The sequence below is a fragment of the Homo sapiens genome, chromosome 7 (assembly GCF_000001405.40).
Source record: "Homo sapiens chromosome 7, GRCh38.p14 Primary Assembly".
Lineage (NCBI taxonomy): Eukaryota > Metazoa > Chordata > Mammalia > Primates > Hominidae > Homo > Homo sapiens.
The window spans coordinates 7,615,458-7,627,918 of record NC_000007.14 but is presented as its reverse complement, the minus strand read 5'-3'; positions in this window follow the sequence as shown (position 1 = coordinate 7,627,918).

Here is a 12,461-nt window from a genome sequence, read left to right as displayed (position 1 = left end):
CAAAATTAAACACAACTCTGAAAGCATCTCTTCATAAGGTGAGGTAAATACTCTGAGTGATCAACTAGTATTATTACAAAATTTATAGAAGTTTGAAGTTGTCTTTTGTTTTTTCTAGAGTGAAGTTGTCTTTTAAAGGTATTAATTTAATATGCATGTTTTTGTATATAGCTTTCCAGGACTTTCTCTATATAGGCAAACTATGTGTTCATAGGACCTCAATACACTATTCTGCAATGTGCAATTTTTTTTTTTTTTTTTTTTTTTGAGACAGAGTCTCGCTCTGTCGCCCAGGCTGGAGTGCAGTGGCACGATCTTGGCTCACTGCAAGCTCCGCCTCCCGGGTTCACGCCATTCTCCTGCCTCAGCCTCCTAAGTAGCTGGGACTACAGGTGCCCACCACCACACCCAGCTAATTTTTTTGTATTTTTAGTAGAGACGGGGTTTCACCGTGTTAGCCAGGATGGTCTCAATCTCCTGACCTCGTGAACCACCCGCCTCAGCCTCCCAAAGTGCTGGGATTACAGGCGTGAGCCACCACGCCCGGACGCGTTTTTTCTTAATATGTCTTGGCAACTGACATATAGAATAATCTCATTGTCTTTAATGGTTGCAAAATAGCCCATTGTACCAAACGTTCCCTAATTTATTTAATCCTTTAATTAGCCTTCCCCACTAAGAAGAGGTCCCTATAAATGGGGAACCTGAAGTTAAGCCTGCCTTATTGGTATTTGCCAATGTCTAACATAGTGCATGAATAAATTAGCCTATCTAGCCTAGTTTGAGAAGTCACAAAACTGAGAGGAGAGGTAATGAAGGCCTGCACCATTGTCAGAACTGTGACAATTGTTGCGGGAGGTCAGGGACCCCAAACGGAGGGACCGGCTGAAGCCATGGCAGAAGAACATGGATTGTGAAGATTTCATGGACATTTATTAGTTCCCCAAATTAATACTTTTATAATTTCTTATGCCTGTCTTTACTGCAATCTCTAAACGTAAATTGTGAAGATTTCATGGACACTTATCACTTCCCCAACCAATACCCTTGTGATTTCCTATGCCTGTCTTTACTTTAATCTCTTAATCCTGTCAGCTGAGGAAGATGTATGTTGCCTCAAGACCATGTGATAATTGCATTAACTGCACAAATTGTAGAGCATGTGTGTTTGAGCAATATGAAATCTGGGCACCTTGAAAAAAGAACAGGATAACAGCAATTGTTCAGGGAATAAGAGAGATAACCCTAAACTCTGACCACCTGTGAGCTGGGCTGAACAGAGCCATATTTCTCTTCTTTCAAAAGCAAATGGGAGAAGTATCGCTGAATTCTTTTTCTCAGCAAGGAACATGCCTGGGAAAGAGAATATGCGCCTGGGGGTATAGGCCTATAAACGGCCACCCTAGGTGTGCCCGTCTCTTATGGTCGAGGCTGTAGGGGTGAAATAGACCCCAGTCTCCCATAGTGCTCCCAGGCTTATTAGGAAGAGGAAATTCCTGCCTAATAAATTTTTGGTCAGACCAGTTGCTCTCAAAACCCTGTCTCCTGATAAGATGTTGTCAATGACAATGGTGCCTGAAACTTCATTAGCAATTTTAATTTCACCCCGGTCCTGTGGTCCTGTGATCTCACCCTGCCTCCACTTGCCTTGCGATATTCTGTTACCTTGTAAAGTACTTGATGTCTGTGACCCACACCTATTCACACACTCCCTCCCCTTTTGAAAATCCCTAATAAAAACTTGCTGGTTTTTGCGGCTTGGGGGGCATCATGGAACCTACCAACATGTGATGTCTCCCCTGGACGCCCGGCTTTAAAATTTCTCTTTTGTACTCGGTCCCTTTATTTCTCAAGCTGGCCGAAGCTTAGGGAAAATAGAAAAGAACCTACGTGAATATTGGGGCGGGTGATAGGAGGCAAGGAGTTCAAGAACTATTATGATGGATTCCATAGGATTCAGTGATGATGCTAAAGAGTTAAACAGAATGACAACCAAGAAAGAGATCAGTGGGTTAGAAGGCAATACATTTGCTTTGGTACAAATTAAAGTATTTGATAGGTCCTTTTGTAAAGATGTCTAGAAGGTATTTGGAAATGTAGGACCAGACAGATTCGAGACAAAATTTGCTTAATATATTTAAAGTAGGAAAAGTTTAAGAGGTAAATCATCCCTTATCTGCAATCTCAAAATCGAAAATGGTTTGAAAAGCAAAAGCATTTTCTAAGACAGAACTCATTTAGCCGCAACACCTGGTAAGAATTGTAGTGAGGCTGAGGCGGGCAGATGACCTGAGGTTAGGAGTTCGAGACCAGCCTGGCCAATATAGTGAAATCCCATCTCTACCAAAAATACAAAAATTAGCCGGGCATGGTGGTGGGCACCTGTAATCCCAGCTACTCAGGAGGCTGATGCAGGAGAATTGCTTGAACCCCATAGACGGAGATTGCAGTGAGCCGAGATTGTGCCGCTGTACTCCAGCCTGGGTGACAGAGTGAGATCCTGTATCAAAAAAAAAAAAAAAATGCAGTGAGGGTTATAGTCTATATATACTACTATAGTAGTCATAGTCCCTATCTCGGTTTGTGTAAACATTCATATATTTCATTGCAGAAATATTAATATATTTGATTAAAGAGTGCTGCCCCTCTCTGTGTAAAGTGTTACAAAATATATGGTTGTTACAATCTATGACTTTGCTAAAATCCAAAAATTCAGAATTTTGAAGCATATGTGGCTTCAAAAGTTTCAAGTAAGGGATTGTGTTCCTAAATCAAGGCACAGAGTGCAGAATTGAGAACATCATAAAATAAATGACAGAACCTTGGTGGACCTGCACCATATATGGGGCAGAACTGAGAGTAAGTGGGATGAGGAAGAGGATCATTGAATTGGGAGAGGAATCACAACAGTGCCTGACAACAATTAAGTATTCAATAAATATTTGTTGACTGAAAGAATATAGTGAAAGGCAAGGAAGAGAGAGTTTCAGCTGGTGTGGTGGGTCACACCTGTAATCCCAGCACTTTGAAAGGCTAAGGCAGTTGGATCACTTGAGTCCAGGAGTTTGAGATCAGCCTGGGCAACATGGAGAAACCCTGCCTCTACTAAAAATGCAAAAAATTAGGTGGGCATGGTGGTGCACACCTATAATCCCAGCTATTCGGGAGGCTGAGGCATGAGAATTCATTGAACTCGGGAGACGGAGGCTGCAGTGAGCCGAGATTGTGCCACTGCACACCAGCCTGGGCAACAGAGCAAAACTCTGTCTCAAAAAAAAAAAAAAAAAGTTTCAAGGAGTAGTGAACAATGTGTTTTGAAAGCTCAAAAACAAACAATTGAAAAATGAGGATTAAGAATAAAAAACTGACATTAATTCATAATATACAGCACACATTTCTAAAAAGGATTAAACTATAAAAATAAAAAGGGAAACATTGAAAAAAGGAAATGGTAACTACAAAAACACCCAAACTAATATAGAAAATATAATTAGGCATTGAATTTAGCCCCGAGTCTTCCTGGGAAGCTAAGAAAGGAAAAGAACAATAGGTTATAGAGTTTTAATATCATTAAATTCACTAGGACAATCAAACTTTTTACTAACATTGAATTTTTGAAGAAATATCAAGCACAATCTAATGTAGGGAATGAATGATGAACTACAATATGGTTGTCTTTAGCTGTAATTTTACAAATGTTCTTCCAGTGTTCACTTTTATTTTCATCTGAAAGTGACAAAATTGAACACAACTCCGAAAGCACCTCTTCATAAGGTGAGTTAAGTGCTCTGAATGATCACCTAGTATTATTACTAAATTTATAGAATTTTGAGGTTGTCTTTTGTTTTTCTAGAGTGAGGTTGTCTTTTTAAGGTATTAATTTAATATGCATTATATTATTTAACAAGCACTTTGAGTAAAAATCCTGGGCTAACTACTGGAGATACAAATAAGGTCTAAAATCTGCCCTATGAAATCTCAGTCGACAGCTGTCTAGTATAATCTCTAGAAATGTCTCCACTCTTACTAGCTATTTAATATTTAACTAGTCTAAGGTTTCAAAGAAATCCACCAGCATTAACAACAAGCAAATTCTGTAGGTTCTATTTAGTGAAACTCCAATTTGGTTTCTTATTTAATTTGCATAGAATTTGATTCTGATAGGTTGCTAAAAAAATTAATAATTCTGGAACCACAGGTTATCTTTCCTAAGAAGATGATGTTAAATCTAAAATACCAACAAAGCATGTGTTTTAAGTTACTTTCTAATAGTGATGTTGGTTTGAGGTAAGCCACTTATGTTCTTTATGACCCCATTTGACCTACAGCATGACATTTTGAGATGGCTAATGAAGGCCAGAAGTGTAGGCCATAAACAATTTGTAGTGTAATACATTCATATTGATTGCAAGGATAAAACTGTAGTTTGCATACTATTGTTTCCTTACATATTACAGAATGTAAATTTTAGACAAATACTGTGGCTTTTGCATATTAAAAAATGCAATTTCAACATGATTGTCTCTTCGGTGGGCAGATAAAGAACAACAGTGAGGTATTCAAGATGCAAAATTCAGAAAACTTCCAAACAGTTATCAGAAAATAGCGAGGCCTGTAAGTTGAAGGAAAATATGTGAGCAGAGTGACAGTTTTGGGCAATGCCGTAAATGACACTATGACTTAATTAGCCCCCTTTTCTAAGCAACTATTCATTTTTCACAGGAGTTTGAAATATTACCCAGGAAAACAAGCCAATGATTTTGACTGTGAGAATTTCATACCATAAAATGTTAAGGTAATATAGTCTGTTTAATAATGGGCTTAAATGAATGGTTTTGTTAAAAGATCTTAGTATCTTTTCATCTGAATCTTGAAAGATAATTAGCAGGGAGAAATCTTCTGTTGAATAATTACTAATTAAAAAACTAGATAATTTAGCATTATTTTTACCTTAGCTACTCAATTAGGAAATATTTATTATTTAGATGGTGACATTTATTTTCATTAATTTAATTCTGCTTAACACGACATGATCATTTAAAGTTAAATTGTGTCAAGTAAATTTATCATAACCTTACAGAAAATCAGAAACAGTGCCACATTTCACTCAAATGTTTTCATATTTTTATTTAGCATTTGAGAGCTTTAAATGTTATGAAAATATTGGAACTGATGAGAGAATACATTTTCTTTTTAAGAGACGCATCTATTCTTTTAAGTGATCAGGGTCCCATTTAGTCAATTATTTTTTCCATATGGCTCAGAAATGTATGTCTTTGTTGGTCATATATTTGATTGACCTGTTATGAAAGGCAGACAGTTGACCACGAGTTGCCTCATTTTAGAATCTCCTTGGAAATGACTAAATGTTTTCCAGATGAACATACGGTGGACCAAGTGGGGAGCTAGGAATTAGAAATCATTGCCTCTAAACCAGGGGAATTTGTGGACTATTTCTGTTGGGACTCGGTGACCTCAAGGAATTGACCCACTGAGCAATTTCCTTCACTCTCCACAGTGTAAGTAAGTCATGAAAACAACTCAAGGTAACACATATATATTTATGGCTGCGCACAGTGGCTGACGCCTGTAATCCCAGCACTTTGGGATGCCACGGCAGGTGAATCACCTGAGGTCAGGAGTTCAAGACCAGCCTGGCTAACATGGTGAAACCTCGTCTCTACTAAAACTACAAAAATTAGCTGGGCGTGGTGGCATGCACCTGTAATCCCAGCTACTTGGGAGGCTGAGGCAGGAGAATCTCTTGAAGCCAGAAGGTGGAGGTTGTAGTGAGCTGAGATCACGCCACTGTGCTCCAGCCTGGGTGACAGAGTGAGACTGTGACTCAAAAAAAAAAATTATATATATATGCAACACTTGTTTCCACAGCAGAATTTAAGGCAGCTGCAAAGGCTTCTATCTTCTTTGCCCAATGTAAACTTCAGTTAGCAGTGGAGATATAAGGGGACAATCAATTTATTACTGTGTTATTTGTCACCAGACCACTCACCTGCCAAAATTGGCACTAATATCCCACTTTATCCCTTTTCAAGGAAAATAAAAATAACATTTCAATAGCAATAAAATATGTTCTATGTTGCTTTTCCTACTTTCTCTTCATCTCATAACCTAAACCTATTTAACATAATTTTTTTTTTTTTTTGAGACGGAGTCTCACTCTGTCACCCAGGCTGGAGTGCAGTGGTGCGATCTCGATTCACTGCAACCTCCACCTCCTGAGTTCAAGCGATTCTCCTGCCTCAGCCTCCCAAGTAGCTGGGACTACAGGCAAGCGCCACCACACCCGGCTAATGTTTTGTATTTTTAGTAGAGACGGGGTTTCACATATTGGCCAGGCTGGTCTCGAACTCCTGACCTTGTGATCCATCTGCCTCGGCCTCCCAAAGTGCTGGGATTACAGGTGTGAGCCACCGCGCCTGACCCAACATACAAATTTAAGAATACATTTTAAGCAGTACAGGGAAAATAAATGATGAGTATATACAAACTCTAAAATTCTACCTAAGATAATTTATTTTTCAAAAAAATAATGCTCCACTGTATAATCTGTTATTCAAAGTTGAATGGTTGGTACTTTTTAAAAGGAAAAATAGGCCCCCGCAAAAGGGCCAAAATACATTTGCGACGTTCGCCTAAAATAATTGGAAAATATACCAGTTATATACACATTTATGTTTTCTTAATCAAAAGAGTAGAAAGAAGTATAAGGCACAAAATGCTTCTAGGTATGACTCCCTAAACAATCTGGAACACAACATTTAGCTTCCATAATTTTAAAACACAGGAACTAGAGATAAATTGTCTGATAGATTGTCTTATTGGAAATTAGGTTAGGGGATTGCAGGGATTTGGAGAAAGAAACTAATGCATAATGACACCCATTTGCAACAAAAGAACACTTCAAGGGATTTATCTAAAATACATTTCAGAAATGGATGATTTGGGTTGATGCATTTGAATCTTTAAAAATTTTATTAGTTAAAATCATTAAGTCAGTGACATTTAGAAACACTGCTGCTGCCTTCTGTGTTCTCAACAGATTCTAAATTCAGCTACATGTATCTTGTGATTACAAGATATGCTTACAAATAGCAATAATTGTTGCAAAACAAATTACAGAGTGGCACAGGAAAACATTCTCCCTCCAACAGAGAGGGAGAGTGGATTACCTCACTCATATAGCCTGCAGGTTATATAATGAAGATTGCAGACTTTAAAATGAAAAAGAAATGTATGCCAAAATAGAAAAGTGATTTCATGAAAAATAAAGACAGATTCTTTTGTTTAGGGGAAAACACCTAAAGAATTGATGAGAAAATTCAGGCGCAAATATTTAAGTGTTTATGACTCTGTAAACTGTTTCTAAAAAGCTTATTTATTCATTTCCATAACTATTCATAGGATACAGTCATGCAAATAACAGCTTTTTCATATAGGGCTTGAAAATATTACAATTATATTGCACAATATTTCACAACAAATGTACATTTGTACATATACACAATATATTACATTTTTACATTGTATACATATAATTGTATTATAACAATGTTACATTTATATACAATACATTACAACTTAGAAATGAGTAATTTCTACTTAGTTGGATTCAGTATCCAGACAAAAGTATTACTGTTAATTTTAACCCATACATTTTAGTAAGAAGTGGACAGGGCATTAGCATGACACATATGAATTACTTCAGGGTACATTTTTAATAAGTAACCTCCAGGAAGTTGCCACACACATAGCAATTATCGCAATAGAGATTCCAAGATGTAGGACAAGGGACCACTTTATTTTTCTCTGTGGCAGTTAATTCCTTTAACTCATTCTCCATCTTTTTAAACCCTTCATTGATAAATATTAAAATCTCATGATTGAAGCTTCCCAGCTCAGCATTCTGTAACACCCTCCTCCCAGAACCCAGAAACGTAGTAAAAAATTACTGATAATGAGAAGACTGAATGTACCTTATTATAATTTCTTGGTGGTCTACCTGTTCAATATACTACAAACTCCATGAGGATAGGGTGGGGAAACTGGAAGATAATGGATGGGGATGAAAAAAAAACCTTTTCACTTTGTTTTCTTTATACTTCTTGACTTTTGAGCCACGTTGTGGTGGTTAATTGTATGTGTCAACCTGGCTGGGCTAACGGATGCCCAGATAGTTGGTAAGACATTATTTCTGGGTGTGTCTGTGAGGATGTTTCCAGAAGAGATTCACATTTGAATCAGTAGACTGAGTAAAGATAATCCAGCCTCACCTATGTGAGTGGACATCATCCAGTCTATTGAGTGCCAGGATAAAACAGAAAGGTGGATGAAGAATGAATTTTTCTATTCTTGAGCCTGAACATCCATCTTCTCCTGTTTTTGGACATCAAAGCTCTTGGTTCTTGGACCTTTGGACTCCAGGACTTGCACCCCCCAACGCACACACAGACACAGACACACGCACACACACATGTTCTCATGCCTTCAGCTGAGAGATATATCATTGGCTACCCTGGTTCTCAGGACCTCGGAATTGGACTGAATTGCACCACTGGCTGTCCTCATTCTTCAGCTTGCAGATGGCGCATCCTGGGACTTCTCAGCCTCTATAGTCATGAAGTCAGTTCCCATAATCCCCGTGTGTGTGTGTGTGTGTGTGTGTGTGTGTGTGTGTGTGTGTGTATGTGTGTATCCTACTGGTTCTGCTTCTCTGGAGAACCTAATACACACGTGAATACATTTCCTATTTGAAAATTAAACTAAAAAGTCTTCATGATAAACAGTTGTTCCTGAATGGTTAGCCCTCAGGTAAACCAGGTTCATTTTTCAATAGGATTCATTGTAACTGAATTGGCCAAGTCCAGTCACTTTGGTCTGTTAGTATATGAAGGTATCCTGAAAACAGGGTATCAGACATTTTGTTATTCTCGAAAATATGATTCTTTCTATAGTAGAAATGACTGAGAAACAAGATGAATACCAAGGACACACAGTTACTGACAAGAAGATTATAAAGCATAATGGGCTAAGCAATGTTGTAACAAAAATTATCTCTGAAACAAGACCATCAGGGGCCTTTGGCAGTACTATTAGTCCTCCTCACCCTAATTGCTGTCAAGGTGTGGAGAATCTGGTTAAACATTGAAAGAGAAATGATTATCATAAAAGAAACAAGGCACTGGGTGCAGTGGCATGCACCTGTACTCCCAGCGGCTAAGGAGGCTGAGACAGGAGTTCAAAGCTGTAGTGCACTAGGATCACACCTGTGAATAGCCACTGCACTCCAGCCTGGGCAATATAGCAAGACCCTGTCAAGGAAGGAAGGAAGAAAGGAAAGGAGGAAGGGAGGAAGGGAGGAGAGGGAGGAGAGGGAGGAAAGAAACAGTGACAGTGAAAAAACTGACCAAAGCTAACTTTCAAATTATAGCAGAAAAGGTGTAGAAAGAGGGAATTACATATAATTCAGGGCTTTTCCATATAGGTGTTTTTTTTTCCTCAAAGTAAACACCATTAAAATTGAGCATGGAAATGAACAAGCAGTGCATTGTAAATAAATACAAACAGTGAATAGTCATATAAAATCTATGTTTAACCTCATTCAGAATTGAATATATGTAAATTAAAATATTTTCAATATTTTCATCTACTACATGGCTATAAGTAGAAATTTTATAATGCTTAGCGTTGAAGGTGTTGGGAAAACAGGCACTTTCCTATGCTGTTTAGTTTATAGGGAGATAATTAGTTCAACTTTTGGAGGGCTATTTGTCAATATCTATCAAAATGTAAAATACACATAACTTTTGGCTCATAATTCCACCTAATTTATCTGAGAAATTAACTCACTCACAAGTACCCAAAGATTTATACTCAAAGATGCTCACTGCAGTATCATTTGTAAAAACGAATGGAAATACCCTACATTTCTATCAATGGGAGATATAGACATCTAATCACACACCATTCAGTCAGTTTTTAAAAATTAGATATATATAGGCTAATAAGGGAAACTCTTCAAAATACATATTTTAGATAGGAAAAAACCATTAGAGGAGAGTTTATGCAGTATGATCTTATCCAGGCAAAGAGAGAGAGGCAAAGATGAACGCAGACAAACACAGCCAGATGTGGTTTATGTAAAGAACATTTCCTTACATGTGTACAGACTTTAAAGCAGCTTTTCCTAGAAAGTGAGAGTTGGCGTTTAGGGAGGTGACACATAGAGCAGGAAGATAATGGGGCAAACTGCTAAGAAGATATTTACTTCCACTTTATACTTTATGTAATTTTTTTTTCTTGTGATAAGCCTGCATTTTTTCCCAATTTTTTATTGTGGCAAAATACGTATAATATAAAATTTACCAACTTAACCTTTTTTAAGCATACAATTCAATGATATTAAATACATTCATAATTATGTGCAACTATCACCACCATCCATCTCCAAAACTCATTTCATTGTGTAAAACTGAAACTCAGTATCCATTAAACAGTAACTCCCCATTCCCTCCCCTCTAGTCTCTGGCTACCACCTTTCTATTTTCTCTTTCTATGATTTTGACCAATCTAAGTACCTTATACAGGTGGAATCATAAAGTATTTGTCTTTTTGGTTAGATTATTTTGCTTAGCATAATATCCTCAAAATTTATTCATGTTTCAGCATATCAGAATTTCCTTTTTTTTTTTTGTCAGGGTCTTAATCTGTCACTCAGGCTGTATTGCAGTGGTGTGATCATAGCTCACTGCAGCTTTCACCTCTCAGGTTCAAGCAATCCTTCCACCTCAGCCTCCCGAGTAGCTAAGACTACAGGCATGTGCCACCATGTCTGGCCCAGTTTTGTATTTTGTGTAGACATGGGATCTCACCATGTTGCCCAGGCTCTTCTTGAACTCCCAGCCTCAAGCAATCCTCCTACCTCAGCCACCCAAAGTGTCGGGATTTCAGGCGTGAGCCACCATATCCAGCTCCTTTCTTTATAAGGCTGAATAATATTGCTTTGAATATGTATACCACATTTTCCTTATTCATCTGTCCAGGACACTTGAGTTGCTTTCACATTTTAACTATCGTGAATAATGCTGCTATAAATATTGGTACACAAATAACTCTTTGAGACCATTTCAAAAGATTGCTTTCAATTATTTTAAGTATATACCCAGAAGTGCAATTGCTGGATCATATGGTAATTCCTTTTTCTTTCTTTTTTTTTCTTTTTTTTTGAGACAGGGTCTCACTCTATCACGCAGGCTGGAGTGCATTGGCACAAGCATGGCTTGTTGAAGCCTTGAACTCCTGGGCTCAAGTGATCCTTCTGCTTCAGCCGAGACTACAGGTATGCTCCACCATGCCCAACTAATTTTTGGAATTTGTTTTTGTAGAGTTGGGACCTCGCTGTGTTGCCCAGGCTGGTCTTGAACTCCTAGGCTCAAGCAATCCTCCCACCATGGCCTCTCCAAGTGCTGGGATTACAGGTGTGAGCCACCACATCTGCCTGGTAATTTTATTTTTAATTTTTTGAAGAAACACCATACTGTTTCCCACAGTGACTTTACCATGAGCCTGTATCATTTTTATAATAAAAAGTTAGCTTTAAAATTATTGGAAGTTCATATGATATACATCATACTAACAGAAGAATTCATCTGGTCCAGTTCATTGTCTATGAAATATAAGAGTACTAGACTTCAGTGAAGAGACTTGAGATCTAATTTCAGCTTTACCATCCGGTTCGAATACCTCTCCAATTGTCCAAATTGGTAGTTAAGCTGAAAATGACAAACAGGTGAACACTGGCCAGTTGGCAGTTGGTGCCTAGAATACTACGCTGAAAAAGGATCTGAGGGAAAGTGGGAGATTGATGAACCACTTGTGCCAAAGGTAAAGAAGTGTGTGGTCATTCACCACTAGGTCAAGCACAACTTGGCCTAACCTGTCCATCTCATGGTGTCTGAAACGAGTTGCTGTATTTCTCATTGGAGAATTTTAACACATAGAGGAAGTTTGCTATTGGCTCACATGTAGAAATCTTGTTACTATGTGTTTTTCTTATCACCCAGTGCTTCTTACCATGACCATTTTCTTCCCATTTTTCAAAATACAAGTAAGTCTCAGCTATCTACATTAATCAATGTTAGGTAAAAATGTCCTCTACTTAGCAGTCCTCAAAGCAGCCTTTGTTAGCTTCTTCTTAAAATTTCACAAAGACAGAAATGAAAAGTCACAATACCACTACCAACAGATTGTGGAAAGAATATTAATCAAGTATAGGACAGAGCAGCTGGATTGAGGACCTATGATAGCTCCATTTTGTTGTATAATCAATGCGTCTCAGCTCTGAAGAAAATGCACATGCACTTCAATTGGGTGACCAATACAATGTAGTAAAGGTAGTGTCTTAATTCAGAGGCAGATAAAACCAAAACCAACTGTTTATATTT